The 21,145-nt window shown below is 44.5% G+C and overlaps 1 protein-coding gene and 1 long non-coding RNA gene across 2 annotated transcripts in view, besides 1 other annotated feature; one reads left to right on the forward strand and one right to left on the reverse strand.

Annotated features, from left to right (window-relative positions):
* KIF26B-AS1 (KIF26B antisense RNA 1) overlaps positions 1-2,600 on the reverse strand; it is a 28,074-nt gene extending 25,474 nt beyond the window's left edge. The window contains exon 1 of the long non-coding RNA NR_151721.1: positions 2,470-2,600. This is a non-coding gene — a long non-coding RNA (KIF26B antisense RNA 1). The remainder of the gene's footprint in view (positions 1-2,469) is intronic.
* Positions 1-21,145, forward strand: part of KIF26B (kinesin family member 26B) — a 554,448-nt gene that overhangs the window by 76,933 nt on the left and 456,370 nt on the right. The gene's annotated exons all lie outside the window — the stretch shown is intronic.
* Positions 2,625-3,144: an enhancer, noted in NCBI's record as "OCT4-NANOG-H3K4me1 hESC enhancer chr1:245397844-245398363 (GRCh37/hg19 assembly coordinates)". NCBI's record gives its function as "activates a minimal SCP1, AML or CMV promoter by ChIP-STARR-seq in naive and primed H9 embryonic stem cells {active_cell/tissue: H9 hESC(naive and primed)}" and the evidence as "EXISTENCE:reporter gene assay evidence [ECO:0000049][PMID:30033119]".

The raw sequence follows: 21,145 nt of genomic DNA on the forward strand, positions 1-21,145 counted from the left end.
TTTAATCCTACGAGAACTCAGGGACTACTGTCCTAACAACTCCTTCCTAAAGAATATGCCAGAGGGTTGTTACCATCAAACAGAGAGAAGACTAAGGAAATTTGTCAAAATAACTGGTGGTTTGAACAAAAGATGCAAAACTACTTTGAAAGAGGGCTTCATGTTTCAGAGATTAATCGGACGTATCCATCCATAAGATCCTTGCCAAGAAAGTTTGAATAATAAAACAATGGAGCTAGATTGCAATGTTTTCACCAAATCCAGAATCTCTGAAGAAATTAGGATATGGCTTTGGCAGCTCTAGACGCCAAATTTGTAAAGCAAGAGAAGGGAAAAAGTGCAAGTAATTAATGGAGCTTGGAAAAGACCTGAAGCAGGACAGTCAGGAGTAGATGAAAGGGTTTTCTAAGAAAAGAAGTAGAAATGTGGAATTTGGTAAATTTTATTGAGAAGGCACCCGAGTAGATTTAGGCTTGTAGTTCTTACAAACATTAAAAATGTTTTATTGTATTAAAGAGCTAATACTCCTTAATTATGACTTCATTATTTATGTTACAGAGAAGATCTAGATGCACTATTTACCTCCTTTTGTTCCTAACCTAGAAATGGTAGCAAATACATGTGGTTTCATTTGTTTTTTTTTTTTTTTTGAGATGGAGTTTTGCTCTTGTTGCGCAGGCAGGAGTACAGTGGTGCGATCTCAGCTCACCGCAACCTCTGCCTCCCAGGTTCAAGCGATTCTCCTGTCTTAGCCTCCCGAGTAGCTGGGATCACAGGCATGAGCCACCACTCCCGGCTAATTTTGTATTTTTAGTAGAGACGGGGTTTCTCCATGTTGGTCAGGCTGGTCTCGAACTCCCGACCTCAGGTGATCCACCCGCCTTGGCGTCCCAAACTGCTGGGATTAGAGGCATGAGCCATCGCACCCGGCGGTTTCCTTCCTTTCCTCCAAAGTCACGTTGCACATCAATATGTGATTTGGCAATGGTTCTCTTTTTCACTGAGCCCCAGTGAAGCCTCAGAATTCTACTCAACGTAGCACACGAGGCAGCCATTACTACTCTATCTGCATTTGTTGGAAGTTGAAATATATTTGCTATCCCTGCCCTAATTGTAGGGTCTGTAGCCTGATTACTTGGCATCTTCATCTCACTTGTGGAAACTAACGGGATTACAGACGCACTTTCTCAGCAAGCGTTCATTAGTCACTGAGTAAATGACAAACAATGTATGAGGCTCTGGGCATAATGAAATGATTAGGACACATTTCCATCCTCCAAGAGGCTCACAGGGCCCAGAAGGAAGTGAATGATTCTGTAGAATTTGCCTTGTGAATGTGTTACTCCTTAAGTTATATCGAACATTGCAGTGATCAAGAAATATTCTACTTTGTAGAAAGATCCTGGAATCACATAGACCCCAAGTTTTAGGCATGGCAAAACTTTATGCACAATTTCATATGTAAAGTGATTTTCTCTGTCCTCATCCTTAGTACCTTGCTACTCAAAGCGTGACCTGAGGACCAGTGGAAAGATATTACCTGGGTACTTGTTAGAAAATGCAGAATTCCAGTCCCATACCAGATCTCTTGAAACAGAATTCTCATTGTATGAAGATACCCAGGTGACTTGTATGTACATAAAGTGTGAGAAACACTGCAGACTCTTAGTGTCCAGCTAGAACAAGATTGATTTGCCACCTGCCACTTTTCTTTCTCCCTACACACACTTAAAAAAAAATCTCTTAACTAACCACAGACACATATTCCAAATCTCATGTTCTCTCTGTCATAATTTTCTTATTTGTAAACTTAACATGGGAACACTATTAGTACCTGTCCTGTCTGATGAGAGTGAGCATTTGCTGAGATCATGCATCTGTGGTGTTCAGTAGAGTGCCCAGCTTCATAAATACATGTTATTTGTGAATGATATACATGATACTAGTTTAATGGAAAATTGGGACTTAGAAATAATGTTTCGGGCTGGGCGCGGTGGCTCACACCTGTAATCCCAGCAATTTGGGAGGCTGAGGCGGGCAGATCACCTGAGGTCAGGAGTTTGAGACTCCAGCCTGGCCAACGTGGTAAAACCCTGTCTCTACTAAAAATACAAAAATTAGCTGGGCATGGTGGCGGGCACCTGTAATCCCAGCTGCTCAGGGGGCTGAGGCAGGAGAATTGCTTGAACCTAGGAGGTGGAGGTTGCAGTGAGCCAAGATCGCGCCACTGCACTTCAGCCTGGCCTTTAGAACGAGACTCCCTCTTAAAAAAAAAAAGAAAGAAAAGAAAAAAGAAATTTCAACACCGTAGCCTGTTCCCAGTGGAGGAAATTCTGAACTTTCTCGTTGTTGGAACTTTGTTTGATACCTCTAAGTAAATACCCAATAAAATGGTATCTAACGCCCCCCTGCCGGGCTGGGTGGTACCCACACTTGTACCTCGCACTCACACTCACACACGTCACACACCTGTCAGGGGGCACAGCCCCAGGTGAGCCTGAGTGCTGTGCTTGCCTCGTGGGGTGCTCCATGGAGATGGGTCTCCCAGGCCTCAGGGCTTCCTGGGTGCACCTCCCGTTTCTGCGTGCAGGGAGGGATGGCTACAGGACTGGGCGGGAGAACTTTCCCAGTGTGGTGAGGCGTGCTGGTGAGACAGCAGTGTTTCCTGGGTTACATGTGGGCAGGACTGGGTTGGAGATGGGCCCGCAATTTGGCCTCCTGACTTGGGGTGCTCCAGTCTGCAGGTGGAAGTTCTTCCCGGCGGCTTGCAAAGAAGAAAAGCGAGGAGAAGGGCACTGATTTATTCAGCAGGGCATTTCCTTGGTTTGGCTGAAAGCTTTTGACTTGCGTGAGCTCAGCAGGGGAGCGCCGTTTCCAGGCCTCGCAACACCGGCCTGCTATTAAGTGTTTCTAAGAGAATAAAAGCCTGTTGTGTTAAAAGGACTTGCCCTCCGCCAGCAGCAGTGGGCCCATTAGCCAATCCGTTGGACACCCGGTGGCACACAGGCTGGCTCTGCAGGAGGTCCTCCTGGCCTCCTGCCCCTGTGTCTTTCAGAAGGCAGAGTCCGTGGGAGAGATCTGCTTCCCCATCCTCCTGCCTGGTGGAGCTGAGAGTGTCAACTGACACTGTCCCTTCGGCCTCCTCCTCTGTCCCTACTGCGCTGGGTTGAGTTGCCTGTGGAGGGGCTCCGCTTCCCTTCCTTTGTGGAGCTGATGTGTTCAGGAAAATATTCGAATATGTTAGATTTGTATAAACTAGGTCATTACTCTCTTGCTTTAAGGTTATACTTCAAAGGCCATAGTTAATTAAAGGTAGGTGTCCTTTGTCATTCAAAGTGAACATTTGTGTCAGTTCAATAATATTTGCTTTTAAATTTCCGTTAAGACATACGGGTTGGGTGTGGTGGCTCATGCTTGTAATTCCAGTGCTTTGAGAGGCTGAGGCAGGAGGATGGCTCGAGGCCAGGAGTTCCAGACCAGTCTCGGCAACATAGCAAGATCCTTTCCTTAAAAAAAAAAAGAAAAATTAGCCAGGCATGGTGGCATTCACCTTTAATTCTAGCTACTCAGGAGGCAGAGGTGGGGGGATCGCTTGAGCCTAAGAGTTTGAGGTTGCAATGAGCTATGATCACGCCACTGCACTCGAGCTTGGGTGACAGAGACTCTGGAAACAAAGAAAAGAAAAGAAAGGGAGAGACGGAGGGAGAGAGGCAGGGAGGAAGGAAGGGTTCAGAATATAGAAAGAGGGAAGGAAAGGAGGGAGGGAGGAAGGGAATAAGGGTTCAGAATATAGATAGAAAGGAAAAGTCCACAGAAAACTGGAGTAAAGTCTGAAGCTCCTGAAATAATAGTCAGTGTGCTAAGCAGGAACAGTGTGTACAATTTTAAGACATGAGAGTGAAATACCGGGTTTGTCATTTGCATAAGTTTTTGAGTAGTTAGAATAAACAGTGCTTATCGCCTTCCCAAAACACCCCACCACTATAAGCTGCTTGTACACACTGCATCACTTATTTTTTTTTTTTTTTTTGAGACAGAGTCTCGCTCTGTCACCCAGGCTGGAGGGCAGTGGCACCATCTTGGCTCACTGCAACCTCCACCTCCTGGGGTCAAGTGATTCTCCTGCCCCAGCTTCCCGAGTAGCTGGGACTACAGGTGTGCGCCACCATGCCTGGCTAATTTTTCTATTTTTAGTCGAGACGGGGTTTCACCATGCTGGTCAGGCTGGTCTCGAACTCCTGACCTTGTAGTCTGCCTGCTTCGGCCTCCCAAAATGTTGGGATTACAGGCGTGAGTGAGCCTCTGGCATCACTTATGTTTTAATGACCAAGGTGTATACAGGTAAGAAAGTTAAGCATGTAAGTGCCAAGTTCATGTCTTGGTTCTATCATTTACCAGCCATGGGCTTTGGGCAAGTTAGTTTTAACCTCATTCAGCCTCAACGTCTTCAACTCTAAAATGGGAATAAATGTTGCCTCCATCATAGATTTATTGTGAAAGTTAAAGGATATTGCGTATAAAATGGCTTAGCATAGTTCCTGGGACGTAATTGACAATCAATATTATAATTATTAATATGTGAACTATAGGATTTTTATTATTTAAAAGAACCTTTAAGTGAATTTCTTATAAACCTATAATGTTAGCAATGCTATGAATAAAATTTGTTTTATAAGGTTGAAGTTTGGTATGTTGTATTTTCTTGAAGCAAATTTTATAATGCATGCGACTTGATTTTTCCTTGTCCTTTCCTATTTTTGGTAAGAATGTCTAAACCTGAAAACAATGGAGTGTAGAAATAAAAATACATGATGCGGAATCTGAGAATGCCAATGCTAGGGGAAAGGAATACTGAGTGTGTGTGGCCGTGAGCCCCGTGGGGGCTGGGATTTGCTCGCTGCTGTATCCCCAGGGCAGAACACCATGGGTGGCATGCAGTAGGTGCCTAATCAGTGTGTGTTGCTTGAATAAATGAATGAGACCACATAGCCCAACACCTTCATTTTGTAGATGGAAACATAAGGCACAGAGAAGTAAAGTGACTTGTCTGAAATTACTTAAGGCCGATCTGGGACTGAGTCTCTGGTCCGTGTGATCACAAATGCTTCTAAGGCTCACAACGTAGCAGAATTTGTCTGCAATGAAGATCGTGGTGTCTTCAGCAGCACACTGGCTGGCTGGTTATCTCTCTTTCTTCCTCTGTCCTCTGCTCCCTCTTTCTACTTCTTCCCTTCTTTCTTCCTCCCATTCTTGCCCATTGCCCCTGGTGGCGTGTCCTTTGCTAAATGAGGGCTAGACAGATGTAACTTACAGCTCTGTCTCATACCACGCAACTCTAAAGTCCATCCTTAGACTACGACTTAGAGCAGATGTGAATGTTTAACCTCCCTTCTCTCTGGACATATGGCATCATCTTATTTCTCTGTTAGCTGGTCTGCCCTCCTGCCACCCATTTCAAGGCACTGTTGGCTCCTGGAAGCCATCTGGATGGAGTTTTTGTAACGGGAAAGTGCTCCTCCAGCACCCAGGAAGCCTTGGGTGGGTGATGGTCCCTGTGATCACCCAGCCGTGGTAAGGCCTGCTTCCCTTGCTTAGCAAAACCGTACCCTGGTGGATGGTGATGCTGCAGCCGGGGCCCAGGGGGTCTATGAGCATCATGGCAAAAAAGCCTTTATGGGAGCTCCCAGTTTACTACTTTCAGCCTTTCGGAAACACACACATTTCCTTCCATTCTTTACTGGCAACACTGTCTTTTGTACAGACTGTATTTGTTTGGATTAATACAGGGAGTCTGCAAATTTTTGTTCAAATAAGAATATTGTAGCTGGGTGCAGTGTTCCACACCTGTAATCCCAGCACTTTGGGAGGCCAAGGCGTGAAGGTTGCTTGAGCTCAGGAGTTCAGAGCCAGCCTGGGCAACATAGTGAGACCTCATCTCTGCTAAGTAAATAAGTAAAAATTAATCAGGCGTGGTGACATGTGCCTGTGGTCCCAGCTACTTGGGAGGCTGAGATGGGAGGATCACTTGAGCCCCGGAGGTCGAGGCTGTGGTGAGCCATGATTGCACTACTGCACTCCAACCTGGGCAACAGAGCAAGACCCTGTCTCAAAAAAAAAAAAAAAGTTGTTATTTGGCCAGGCATGCTGGCTCATGCCCGTAATCCCAGCACTTTGGGAGGCCAAGGCAGGCAGATCACCTGAGGTCAGGAGTTCAAGACCAGACTGACCAACATGGTGAGACCCCATCTCTACTAAAAAAAATACAAAAATTAGCTGGGCATGGTGGCAGGCACATGTAATCCCAACTACTCAGGAGGCTGAGGCACAAGAATCACTTGAACCCAAGAGGCAGAGGTTGCAGTGAGCCGAGATCGCACCACTGTGCTCCAGCCTGCGTGACAGAAACTTCATCTCATCTAAAAAAAAGAATATTGTCATTTGAGAATCACAAAACTCTGATCTTTTTAAACATAGGAGAGTGATATAGAGCAGTGCTTCTCAAACTGTATTTGATGAAGGACCAGTTTTCAAATTTTCCATATCGTGTTGCAGATCAACCTATCCATCAAAGACAATAAAAATGAATAGAAAAATGGAAAAAAATCCCAAACCCAAAAGACATTAAAAAGTCCTCAATTTTTTTTATTACTCAGAACAATTGGGCTGGGCATGGTGGCTCACACCTGTAATCCCAGCACTTTGGGAGGCAGAGACGGGTGGATCACTTGAGGTCAGGAGTTTGAGACCAGCCTGCCCAACATGGCAAAACCCCATCTCTACTAAAAATACAAAAATTTAGCTGGGTGTAGTGGCAGGCGCCTGTAATCTCAGCTACTCGGGAGGCTGAGGCAGGAGAATTGCTTGAACCTGGGAGGCGGAGGTTGCAGTGAGCTGAGTTGGTGCCACTGCACTCCAGCCTGGGTGACAAGAGCAAAACTGTCTCAAAAAACAAAACAAAACAAAAAAACCCCAATTGATCTAAAATTATACATATTGCTGCAAAAAATTCTAAATGCTTAGTCTCAATTTCTACACTTCCTTCTGGGTGTTGGTAGCAAACTCTCTGTAGACCCGACTTTGAGGAGCTCTTGATATGGAGACGTGGTTTCTTACGTCTAATTTCGTTTTCCACCATCTACTGCAAGAGTTGTATTTTCTGCCTCACGTCGCTGTCCTTCTCCCAGCCCATTCATTTTACTTCCCCTCTCAGAATGGCCTGTGTAGTGGGAGGCCCAGGACATTTAGTGGAAGATGGACATGGGCAGGAGTTAACGCGTCCTCCAGAGAATGCCTCCATGTTCTTCCGTCATCCGTGCAGATATCAGGCTGCAGTCCCGCAGAAAATGATGATGTTGCACAAGGCGAAGAAGCAGATATTGACATGAGGCCAATAAAACAGGTCATGAGCCAATAAAAATGACCATCTGATTCACTTTCCAGAAGAGCTACGTTTTAATGATTTACTAGAAAGCGAATTCTTTCTTTGCATCAATTTTTATCAAAAACTTAATGCCATTAATAGGTGAAGAACACATTTTTGATTCATTGACTAGGATTATGGTTAGTAAAATGATTTTCTTTTGTTTGGGTTTTCATTGTTGTTTTAGACAGAGTCTCTCTCTGTCGCCCAGGCTGGAGTGCAGTGGCGTGATCTCAGCTCACTGCAACCTCTGCCTCCTAGGTTCAAGCAATTCTTCTGCTTTGGCCTCCATAGTAGCTGGGATTACAGGTGCCCGCCACCACGCCTGGCTAATTTTTTGTATTTTTAGTAGAGACGGGTTTTCACTATGTTGGCCAGGCTGGTCTCAAACTCCTGACCTCAGGTGATCTGGCCTCCCAGAGTGCTGGGATTACAGGCATGAGCCATTGTGTCCTGACCAGTAAAATGATTTTCTGAATGTTTTAGTGTTTTTCCTTCCAAAAGTTGTCTTTCCTGACAGTGTATTTTTATTTTACTATATAAAGAGTCACTTTCCGGCCGGGTGTGGTCACTCACGCCTGTAATCCCAGCCCTTTGGGAGGCCGAGGCGGGCGGATCACTTGAGGTCAGGAGTTTGAGACCAGCCTGGGAAACATGGAGAAACTCTATTAAAAATACAAAGATTAGCCGAGTGTCATGGCGCACACCTGTAGTCCCAGTTACTCAGGAGGCTGAGGCATGAGAACTGCTTGAACCCGGGAGGCGGAGGTTGCAGTCAGCCGAGATCGTGCTTCCAGCCTGGGCAACAGAGTGAGACTCTGTCTCAAAAAAAAAGAGAGTCATTTCCCGTGAAAACCACGTGGTCTTTCTGCATCCCTAGGGGTTATTCTGGTGCCTAACGACTTCCTGAGTCCACTTTCGCCGCTTCCATGGCCACATTCGCTTTATTTTTCTCTTCTTAGGGGAGGGGAAGGCAGGGCATAGTTGCTGTAATTTGTAGAGTTGGGTTGATCAGTCGCACCTTAGTGTATATACCTCAGTGTGGAAATGTCTGAAAATTGTAACTTTGGGTTTGTAGAATTTGTTTTCCATTTCATAAGTCCTGGAATTTTAAAGTCCTGCATTTTCGGTTCGTTTAGAGGAAGCTGCATATACACATACATGTACAGACATACGAGTGTGTATAGAATGTGGAGAAATACCACTGCCCTCAGACTCTCGTGAGATTATATTTAATCTTTTTCCTTCTAGGGAAAATTTCAAAAAGGTAGGAGGGGGCTCGTGATATATTAACATTTTTACCAAAAGCTCTGTTAGGGCTGGAGGGGAGACAGCAGAGAAGAGCAACAAGGGAAGTTTTAGTGAGATATAGCCATATCAGAAAAGCAACAATACATTTAGGGAAGCTGGGAGAGGCAGGAGATGCCGCTGTGGGAGGGAGCTGGAAGGCTACAGGGACCTGCCAGAGGGAGGCTGGAGGCTGTGGGCCAGGTGGCTCAGGGAGGCTGGAGGAAGGTCAGAACCAGCCTGGCAGAGAGCCTGAAGTGACTTGGAGAATGAGGTGGAAAGAAACTTGCTTCCTCTGTGCCCTGAGCTCAAAGATAAAGGACTCTGGCCCGGCCCAAGGTCCCTGCCCCCAGAGTCCCCGCCCAGGGATCATGGATCTCCACCTTTTCCTACTCTTGGGTCTCACAGGGCCTGGGGATTGGGAAACAGAGTATTGCCAAGCCTTATTAAGCAGCTGTTTATTGGGTCAGAATACACCTGTCAGGAAAATCATCGGTAGTGAGCAGTTTCTTCCCGTTACCAGTAAATGTCGGAATTTCCTGAGTGCAGCTCTGAAGGATTTAGAGGTGTCATTCCCAGAGATTAGCAGGGACCTAATCTGTGAAGTGAAGGTGGAATGACCAGGATGGCCAGAGCCAGAGGAAGACCACGAAGCCAGAGGGTGCCCCGACAGAGGAAAAGCGGCCGGTGGGTTTTAGATCCTCATTTGGCCAGAGGGAGGCAGCTGGATCGGCTTCTCCAGAGCCTGCTGGCTGGAGGTTGGCTGTCCGTGGTGGTCTGGTTCTAAGTAGGAGAAGAGGTGGAACTTGGAGCTGGGCACCAGCTGGCACTGCTGTGTTCAGAGCATGGGAGGAAGCAGCAGCAGCAGAATCCCAGGACCCCCAAAGTGGGAGAAGGGCTCCCAGGTGCCTTACAGGTCACAGTCGAGGGCCTTCTTAAAAGCTGGCCCAAACCTGCCCTTTCCTTGCAGCCCAATGGCCTCAGGAGACAGTGACTCACGCTGTGTCCACCTGTGTCATCCTGTGGACAGCTGGAGGTCCACGGGAACAGCTGCTATGGCGGCGGACACAGCCCCGTCCAGGGCCCATGGCAGCCCCAGCTGGCTGCCCGCTCCCTCCTGTGGGCAGTGCTTCACAGCGGCAGCGGGAGCACTGGGTGCAGCCTCTGGAAGGTCTGGAAGGTGCTTGCTTTGGGGACTCGGCCCTGGTGGATCCCCTTAGCCTGTGGTATGAGCTCAGTCCCCATTTCTCAGGTGGCCTTCAAGGCTCATTCCTGACTCACCCAGCCTCATCTCCAGCCATTCGAGATGCAGGCGTTGTCATTCCTTGAAATTCTCACGCCTTCTAGATCCTCTGTGCTTTTCATCACACTATTTCCTCTGCCTGGAATGTCTGTCTTTGCCTGGGAAACAAAAGAGAAAAATGCCTGACTGTTAGATTTAAAATAGCATCTCAAAGCTCACGTTATTTTTAAATATTTCAAACACATAGATAAGAATAGAGAATAACATAATCCCAGTGCTTTGGGAGGCCATGGCTGGAGGATCTCTTGAGGCCAGGAGTTTGAGACCAGCCTGGGCTACACAGCGAGACCCTGTCTCTATGCCTTCCCCCCCCAAAATAGGGAACATATTGAATGTCCGGCATTAGCGTTATCAGATCTTACTGCTATGCCGTATGTACTTCAAATCTCGTTTTATTTTAAAGAATGAAACAATAAAGATTTAGCTGAGGCGCTCAGGGTGCCCTTTCCCACTCCTGGTCTCCTTCCTTGCAAAGGATAATGTCTACCCTTGTGTTAACTAGCCCATGTATGGTGTTCTCATTTGAGCTAGATATTCTACCTAAGAAATCTAAACACATACATTGTATTGGACTAATAAAAAGTTGTATGTAAATTATATATTGTGCATGACCAGCAATTGGCCTTTTCACTCAATATGATGTTTTTGAAATTTATTCAAGTTGACACATGTATAGTATTAGCAGCTGCATGGTGTTCCATTGTATATATATGTGGTTTTTTGTTTGTTTGTTTGTTTGTTTGAGATGGAATCTTGCTCTGTCGCCCAGGCTGGAGTGGAGTGGCGTGATCTCGGCTCACTGCATCCTCTGTCTCCCGGGTTCAAGTGATTCTCCTGCCTCAGCCTCCTGAGTAGCTGGGATTACAGGCACGCACCACCACAACTGGCTAATTTTTGTATTTTTAGCAGAGACGGGGTTTCACCATGTTGCTCAGGCTGGTCTCGAACTCCTGACATCATGATCTGCCCGCCTTGGCCTCCCAAAGTGCTGGGATTACAGGCATGAGCCACCGCGCCCAGCCATATGTGGTTTATTTACTTCTCCTATGGATGGACATTTCGGATTTTTCCCTCAGTTACCTACAGTGCTGCTGTGTGCATTCTTGCATATGTATTCTTTTGCACCTACATGGAAGTTCTCTGATATATTCAGAGGAGAGAGGAGGTAAACTGTCAAGTCATAAGTTGTACATGTCTTCAACTTTACAACTTATCACCAAATTGCTCTCCAAAGTGGCTGTTCCAGTTGGACATGCCCATCCTGTTTCTCCCTTGCCAATACTTGTCTTTATCAAACTTTAAATATTTGCCAATCACATGGGTGAGAAGTGCTATCTCATTGTTTTAACGAGCATCTCCCTGGTTCCTGGTGAGATTGACCATCTTTGCAAATGCCAGTTGTGTTTCCCCTTCCATGACCTAAATGTTCACATCCTTTGCCCATTTTTCCATTTGATGCATATGTTGTCCCTACTGATGTAGGGTATGGATTCTATATATATACATACATATATATATATACACACACACACACACACACACACATATATATATACACACATACATAAAAGGATCTTTTGTTGGCTATGTGCATAACGTGTTTCTCCTCCCAGTCTGTGGTTGGTCTTTTCACAGTGTTTAAAGAGTCTTTTTAAACAAAAGTTTTAACTTCAATAAAGCCAAATTTACCCCCATTCTTCTGTATTGCTTATGCTTTTTGAGTGGTTTATCTAAGAAATACAAACTCCATCTGTAATAAAAATACAAAAAAAAATTAGCCAGGCATGGTGGCACACGCCTGTAGTCCCAGTTACTCGGGAGGCTGAGGCAGGAGAATCGCTTGAACCTGGGAGGTGGAGGTTGCAGTGGGCCGAGATCATGCCACTGCACTCTAGCCTGGGCAACAGAGTGAGACTCTGTCTTGTAAAAATAAAAAAGAAGAAAAAGAAAGAAAGGAAAGGAAAGGAAAGGAAAAGAAAGATACCCTTTCTATAGCCTTCTATTTTTTATTTTTCCCTTTTTTGACTTTTGAGACAGGGTCTCACTCTGATGTCCAGGTTGGAATACAGTGGTGTGATCATGGCTCACTGCAGTCTCCAGCTCCTCACTCAAGCAATCCTCTTGCCTCGGCCTCTTGTCCTGTTGAGTAGCTAGGACTACAGGCATGCACCATCATGCCTGGCTAATTTTTATTTATTTATTTATTTTTTGTAGAGATTGGGTCTTGCTATGTTACCCAGGCTGATCTCGAACTCCTGGCCTCAAGCAATCTTTCCACCTTAGCCTCCCAAAGTGCTGGGATTGTAGGAGTGAGCCACTGTACCTGGCCTCCTTTTATATTTTTTTCTAAATATCATTCTATATGTTCTTCTAAAAGCCCATTTGTTCCATTACTCTGAAAGACAATCCAAGATACGTCAGAGTCTCTTCTTGGGAAATATGGAATGACGTCTTGCATATTGTCATGATATGTAGTGGGTGGGTAAAATCCGTGAAAGGGTGAGTATTTTGCTTTTAAAGTTCTGTGACTATGGGATGGCACTCTAAGCTTCAGCTGCAGTTGGGAAAGACTTTTGCTGTAGACCAATTTTATTGTACTTAGTCGAGTTCTAGAGGGAGCCAGGCCCAGAAAATGAGGGGGACATTTACGTCATGGAACACAGAGGAAGACTCATGAAATGGCAAGAGACCCTCCCCTCCCCTGACTTCCAATGTGACACCCGTCTTCTCTGTCCTCTCTCTTCATACTGTTGTCTTAGGTGTTCCTTGTAACCAGACTTCAAACTATCTGAAAACGTTTGTGAGAAGGAACACACAGACACGCACACTCACACACACACACACACACACACACACACACACACAGAACTGCTTTGGACTTGGATACTTCCTAGTCCTCCTGTTATTCCTATGAACGATTCCTTCTGTTCTTCTAAGTCCCTTCTACTTTATTCAGAGATTATCATCATGACTGCTCATGATGGCAGTCAGTTTATCCAGATCACAAGTCAGAAGGGTGAAATCGGCTGAAAAGAGGATGAAATGTTTTAAACGCTCAAGAATTTCCAGTCACCACAGTCCTGAGGTTCGTTGTTTCTTTTCTGTCTGAAAGCTGTAGAACTCCATGCAGGGAGCCTGTGAGCCTCGGTGGGCTGATGAAACACTCAGAAGAAAAAAGAACTTGATGGAGGCAGTTGCCTGTTTAGCAGACGGGATCTGAATGGAAGGTCTGAGGGTCTGCAGATGTCAGAGCTGTCCATGGCTTTGCCTGGTGTCTGTCTGAGCGATCTGGCCTTTGTCCCTGATGCCTAATCTGCCTGTTTGTCTCTCTGAGATAGCCACCAGGTGGTCTACTGATGATCAAAGCCCTCGATGGTGCAGACTGCTGTCACCCCTCGGCTGAGTCCCAAGATGGGGAGTTTGAGAATGCCGAGTCTTGCTGTTGCCCTTTCTGAATGGGGTGATGCCTGGTCAGATTTCAGTTTCCTGGAACATGTGTTAATGGTTCTCAGCAGAGGGTAGGGCTTTATTTACACACCTGGCTCAGTCTAGACTGCAGACCTTTCAAAGGTTTGCAGAGCGGCCGGGCGCAGTGGCTCACGCCTCTAATCTCAGCACTTTGGGAGGCCAAGGTAGGCAGATCACCTGAAGTCAGCAGTTCAAGACCAGCCTGGCCAACATGGTGAAACCCCATCTCTACAAAAATACAACAACAAAAAAAATTGCTGGGTGCGGTGGCTCATGCCTGTAACCCCGGCACTTTGGGAGGCCGAGGCGGGTGGATCACGAGGTCAGGAGTTCAATACCAACCTGGCCAAGATGGTGAAACTGTCTTTACTAAAAATACAAAAAAGCCGGGCGTGGTGGCGGGTGCCTGCAATCCCAGCTATTCAGGAGGCTGAGGCAGAGAATTGCTTGAACCCAAGAGGCGGAGATTGCAGTGAGCCGAGATCACACTACTACAGTCCAGCCTGGGTGACAGAGTAAGACTCCGTCTCAAAAAAAAAAAAAAAAATTAGCCAGGCATGATGGCAGATGCTTGTAGTCCCAGCTACTCAGGAGGCTGAGGCAGGAGAATCGCTTGAACCTGGGAGGCGGAGCTTGCCATGAGCCGAGATCGTGCCACTGCACTCCAGCCTGGGCGACAGAGCGAGACTCCGTCTCAAAAAAGAAAAAAAAAAAAAAAAAGAAAGGTTTGCAGAGTAACTTTGTGTGGCTTTCTTGATCAACTGTGGGTGGACTTAAGATTTACAGCCGAATAAAGGACTTAAAAATACAGCCCTGGAATTTTTGCCTCTTCAAATGTCCTTCTTGAAAAGAACCCCTTTCAGAAAGTTCCACTTTTTAGGTGGAGCCCCCTGAGCCAACGCTCTGCTCTTCGGAATCATTGATCTGTCTGGGGATGAGCAATGCTGTTGTCTTCATCATCCTCGTCTTCAGCAGCATCAACAGCAAGGTGAATATTTAGCTGGTACACATACAGGTGGCCACACCACTCACCACCTGTTAAAATATTGAGACACTGCCACACGTGTTGGTCAAGAGCTGCTGCTCTGAGTCCCAGTCTCCCCACCACCCAGGCCCTGCCTCTGGGATCTCTGGGACCTCCCCACAAATCAGCAATGAAAGCGTTGGCACCTGACCCCACAGTGGGTCTCCAGGGCTCTGCTCAGCACTCCAGCTGGTTTATATTCTGGTAGGAAGACAGACACCCACACACCCACTCCCATAGTCATTGAGGAATCCATTCTGATTGATGCCCATGCCACAGAGTTGTTAAATATCGTGAATTTCAAGTCATCCTAAGACAAAAATCTGGGCTCTTTTCTTTGGTTAGAAGACAAAGGAATTCCAGCGTATGCAGAGCTGTGTACTGGGTTCTTTGGAGACATTATAATATATATAGATGGGCCCTGAAAGGCTTGCTTGTAAGGGCAGAACACACACACACACACACACACACACAGACACACACACACAGACACAGACACACACAGACACAGACACACACAGATACAGACACACACACACACACAGACACAGACACACACACACACAAACTTAAAAAAGCAACATGTCACCACATTGACACTGATGTAGATTGTAAGTGCAGAGGGGCCAGAGGGTAAAGATCTAGACAGATTGTTCAGAGTGTAAATCACTTAGTTTTCTGTGTTCTTAACAGTGCCTGCCACTGTGGCTGCTTAGGATTTCTTTTCTTTTTTTAATATTTAAAATTTTGGCTGGGCATGGTGGCTCGTGCCTGTAATCCCAGCACTTTGGGAGGCCAAGGCCGGTGGATCACTTGAGGTCAGGAGTTTGAGACCAGCCTGACCAACATAGTGAAATCTCATCTCTACTAAAAAAAAAAAAAAAAAAAATTAGCTGGGCGTGGTGGTGCTCACCTATAATCCCAGCTACTCGGGAGGCTGAGGCAGGAGAATCGCTTGAACCTGGGCAGGGAAGGTGGCAATCAGCCGAGATCCTGCCAATGTACCCCAGCCTGGGCGACAGAGCGAGACTGCATCTTAAAAAAAATAAAAATAAAATTTGAGATGCTTGGAGGAATAGAAAATTGGTGAATGTTTGAGGCAGGACGTGCTAACGAAGAGAAGAGGCTGACATTCTGCCCGAGAAGCAGGGCACGATGGCGTGGCAGCCCTGGGCTGTCGCTGGAGCGAGCTTGTTTATGGAAGTAAGAGGAAGTGGGCCCGAGGGATGCAGAGCAGACTTGCAGGGTCCTGAAGGCTGGAAACTAGATTTTGGGTGTATTAGGAAAATCATGAAGACATGTTGAAGAACTATCAGCCATCTCTTAAACTAGAAGGCAGGCCTTGCCCCAGAACAATTAAGTCATCTGTTTGGAGAAGAGGGAACAGAGAGGAGCCTCGTGGCCTCAACCACTATTTTATCGTGACATTCTGCAGAAATCCTGGCCATTTTTTCTTTTGCTCTCTGTACCTTTCTGAACTTCTCTGCAGGGAAGTGTTGCAGCAGATGCCCTCAGCTCACCAGAGCCCGTGTTAGCCCTGGTTCCGGTCCTCAGTCTCACTGGGTGATAAGGGAAGATGAGGGAAAACTACTTCTATCAGTCACAGCACCAACAGTGCCAACACGGCCGTGCACATCCAAATGGCTTCATTATGCTCAACAGCCTGGGTGAGTCTGAGCCTTACAGCTAAGATGCATTGCTTTTTTTTTTTCCCTCGGTGTGATAAAAATGCTGGTAGTATACTTTTATACCCCAAAATAACTGAGCACATTGAGAAAGACACGGCGACCTACTTGGGAACTTCAGCAGTATTAGCTGGAACGCTGTCTGGACAGTGGAAGGACTTTTTGCAGGGAGCTGCCGTCAGAGGACTGAGAGCCAGCGTTCAGCACGGCATCACTGAGGGCGCCTGGCATGCCTCCGCCTGCCCGTGAGAAGGCACGCTTACCTTCTAGATTTCTCACACTCCTCCAGAGTTGCATTCTGCTTCCGTAACTGTCCTAGAACAGCATTTCCTGTATGAAGATACACAGGTTTGGCCAGAGACTGAACTCTGGTTACTTCCTGAACTTGGGAACAATCCTCACCAAATCCACTAACTATTAATCATGGTCACAGACACTCTCTTGCTTTTGCATGCTCTGCTGTGATGAAGATTGTTGACGCCAAGAACTAAATCGTAATGAGCCCACGTGCTCTTCACAGCAGGCTCCGATAACACTTTGTCGCTTTTATGGTTAAACCTCCTCGTAAAATCTCTCTTTAAGCGAACACGTGATTATCCCCACGGTAGTTTAAACTGAACTTGATTTGTGAGTTTATTTCTTCTTTTCCATCTGAGATGTTTGCCAATATCTCTGACATATATTCTCCTATGGAAATAGCCAGAAAATGATGGATCGAGGAAATCAAGTGTAAATCAGTCTGTACCTCCGAGTGGAAACCAGTCAGTGGGATGTGAATATACTTAATATGTTCTGTTGTCTTGTGTATTGAAGGAGCCTTCATGGAGATTTTATATCTCTGGAGAAACTCCTGCAGGTTGCCTTTTTAGAGAGAGGTTTGAAATAAGAACAAAGAAAGTGAGTTCGCTTTAGCTGAGTAAGGCAGGGGGCAAGTGAAGCAGTGTTAGAGGAGGTAATGTGGCAGCTGTCTATAACAGGTGGAGCAAGGTGATTTTTGTGTGTTTGTTTGTTTTTGGTTTATTTTTGAGATGGAGTCTTGCTCTTTCGCCCAGGCTGGAGAGCAGTGGCATGATCTCGGCTCACTGCAACCTCTACCTCCCAGGTTCAAGCGCCTCCTGAGTAGCTGGGATTACAGGTGTGTGCCACCATGCCTGGCTAATTTTTTGTATATTTTTTAGAAGAGACAGGGTTTCACTGTGTTAGCTGGGATGGTCTCGATCTTCTGACCTTGTGATCCGCCCGCCTTGGCTTCCCAAAGTGCTGGGATTACAAGTGTGAGGCACCGCGCCCAGCCACAAGATGAGTTTTAATGGCCAAACAGAATTCCTGTTTCACAACAATTGACATTGTGTCGGCTCCCTTGTTTGTGCATATGTGTTAATCTATTTTTTTTTTTTTTTTTTTTTTGAGTCTCACCTTGTCGCCTAGGCCGGAGTGCAATGGCATGATCTTGGCTCACTGCAACCTCCACTTCCCGGGTTAATTATCCTGCCTCAGCCTCCCTAGTAGCTGGGACTACAGGTGCCCACCACCACGCCTGGCTAACTTTTGTATTTTTAGTAGAGATGGGGTTTCACCATGGTGGCCAGGCTGGTCTGGAACTCCTGAGCTCAAGTGATCTACCTTCCTAGGCCTCCCAGAGTGTTGGGATTACAGGCGTGAGCCACTGCATCAAAATGCAATTTATTTTGGATACTGAATGCACAGAACTGATCTGGGAAGCATTGCTTTGTTTTGGAGTTTGTCCAGGACAGGTTAGAATAATATTAACATTTGATCTGAAGGCAACCTTACCTAGATTATCTATAAATTGTTATACCACGAGACAGAAGAAATCCTATTTTCCCACTTAATATCTGTGTTAAAAATTATCCTCCAAATATCTATCAAATTTTAAAAATTATGAAACATATTAAAAAATTTAAATCTATAGGAAATAATATAACATGATCCGTGTAGCTTTCATGCATATTTAGCATGTTGACATACTTTCTTCAGATGTGTTTTTTAATAGAAACATTATTGTCGAAGGCTTCTTATTTCCCTCTTCTTTCCATCCTGTTGCACTTTCTTTTTCCTTAGAGATAACCAAAATTAGCCTCCTACATACTTTTATGGGTACCTACATCTCTTTGTAGGTAGGCGTATTATATATAGTAAAGTACAATACCGTATATTTTGTATGCTTTAAAATTATTTAATATGGTAAGATGCTCCACATATCAGTTGAGAACTTGACAGTTTCAAGATTTATCTATCCATTTGGTTTATTTGAACTGTGGTATAACTTTCTGATGAATGACTGTACCTTGATTTACTTAGCTTTTCTTCCTGTGATGGACACTGTTACAAGCGGTGCTATAATAAACTTGTGCAAGTAACTCTTCATACCTGTCTTGGTCATGTAATGTGCTGGCTCACAGGACACATACATAGTCTTCAGCTTAACTAGATGTTGCCAGTTTGTTCTCCAAAATGGCTTCTCTGCAAATCTCACTACCATTCCATATTTTCAGATTCTAAAATCCTGCCATCCTCAGATGAGGATAAAACGATGTTTTCTTGTTTTGAGATGGAACATCTTTTCATAGTTTTATTGACCATGGGAGTTTTCTCTTTTAAGAATTGCCTATTCATTTTCTTTGCCCGTGTTTTTTCTCATTGTATTGTCTTATTTGTGTCCATTATTGTAATTGAATTTTAGGATATTTGAATGTAAATCTTTTGTTATCGTATTGGGGGTTCCCAAGACCACTTCTAGGCTCAGTAACTCACTAGGTTGCTCAAGAGGCTCAGCCTATAGTCCTACTCACAGCAAAGACTTATTACAGTAAAAAGATATAAAGCAAAATTAGCCAGGGGAAAAGGCACAGAGGGTGGAGTCCAGAGGAAACCACGTGCAAGCTTCCAAGAGTCTTCTCCAGTCACATAGGACACACTTCGTTTCCCCAGCATCACATTATGACAACAGGTGTGAAGTGTGTCTACCAGGAAAGCTCATTAGAGACTTAGGGACCAAGGTTTTTGTTGGGGGCTGGTTATATAGGCAACCTCTCTGCCTTGCCTGTACCCAAATTCCAGATTCTCAGAAGGTAAGCAGGTGTTTAGCATAAACCACACTATTTGTACAAATATTTAGGCACAGTGAGTCACTCTTACCAGTTCTAGGAATGGTAGGAACCCTCCTGAAATCTTAAGTTCTCAGATGCCAGCCAAGAGTCAACCTTGCAGGCAGGTCTTCTAACTTTCTAATTTTAACTTTTCTCTGCACGGTTATGTTCATTTCAAATATCTTCTCCTAATCTGTGTTTATATTGTCTTTTGCTCATCCAGCAGTAATATCTGTCTTTTTCAACGCTTTATAATTTTAATATCATGCAAAAAAATCCTTGCCTACCCCATTCATAAAGGTAGCTCCTTATATCTTTCTCTAATAATTTTAACACATTCCTTTTTGTATTTAAGACTGTAACCTAACTGGAGGTTATTTTTGTGACTGGTAAAAGATATGAATCTCATTTATCATTTTTGGCATAGAAGTAGCCAGTTGTTTCTGCACTGTTTATTGAATGGTCTATCATATCCTCATGGATTTGTGATGCTTCCTCTGGCATACCAAGTTCTCCTGTTTGTGTTATCTATCTCTGAACTAAATTCCACACCATTTAATTGAGTTTATAAATCTTAATATTTAATAGCATAAATTGTCCCCTGCCTTGTCTTATTGATTCTTGGCTCTTATGACTGGCTTGTCAAGTTCTGCCAAAAATATATATATATGGTTAATATATATTAAGATTAATGTATATGAATTTTTCTGTCAGAATTGCTTGGAATTTTTAGATTAATGTAAGGATAATTTACATCTTTACAAATATCTGGTCTTGGCTTGGCCTGGTGGCTCATGCCTATAATCCCAGCACTTTGGGAGGCAGATCACTTGAGCCCAGGAGTTTGAGACCAGTCTGGGCAACGTGGTAAAAACCCGTCTCTGCTAAAAATACTACTAAAAATACAAAAAATTAGCTGGATGTGGTGGTGCGCATCTGTAGTCCCAGCTACTAGGGAGGCTGAGGTGGGAGAATCACCTGAGCCCAGGAGTTTGAGGCTGCAATGAGTCAAGATTGCACCTCTGTACTCCAGCCTGGGCAACAGGAGTGAGACCTTGTCTCAAAAAAAAAAAAAAAAAGAAAAAAGAAAATTGGTTTTCCCATATATGAACATATTATATAGCTCTTCATTCATGTATGTTTTCTTTATTACCTTTCGGTAAATGTTTATATTCTCCATAAAGACATTAACATGTTTTGTTGGAATTCTTCTTAGGTACTTTAGGGTTATTATTTGTTACTGTGAATGGATTGTTCTTTTTAAAACTTACATTTTCTAATTGATTGATTGCTGTTGACCTGTATGGGTTTTTACTATTAATGAGATATATAACAAACTGAACTCTTTTATTAAGTCTAATACCTTGTGGATCCTCTTGAATATTCCATGTAGATTATCATGTCTGCAATTATGACTCTTTTGTCATAATTGCAGATAATATGTCTGCAATTATGACTCTTTTGTCATAATTGCAGATAATATGTCTCTTTCTTTTTAATCCTAATTCCTCTTATTGACTTTTCTTGTCATATTCTTCTAGCTAGGGTCTCTAGAACCATGTTGAATAGAAGTAATGATGGTGGGAATCCTTGTCAGTTCTAAGTTTTGTAAGGGACTGCTTCTATCACTTAGCCATTAAGTATGATGTTCACTGTGTGATATGGGTACACATGCTTTATCAAGGTCAGGAAATTTTTGTCCCAGTTTGCTAATATTTTTTAAATTTCATAAATCAGAATTGAATTTTATGAAATGTTTTCTCTACATCCATTGAGGTGATAATTTTTTTCTTAATTTTTTTTTTTTTTTTTTGAGACGGAGTCTTGCTGTGTCGCTCAGGCTGGAGT

Source organism: Homo sapiens, chromosome 1 (genome assembly GCF_000001405.40).
Source record: "Homo sapiens chromosome 1, GRCh38.p14 Primary Assembly".
NCBI classification, from domain to species: Eukaryota; Metazoa; Chordata; class Mammalia; order Primates; family Hominidae; genus Homo; species Homo sapiens.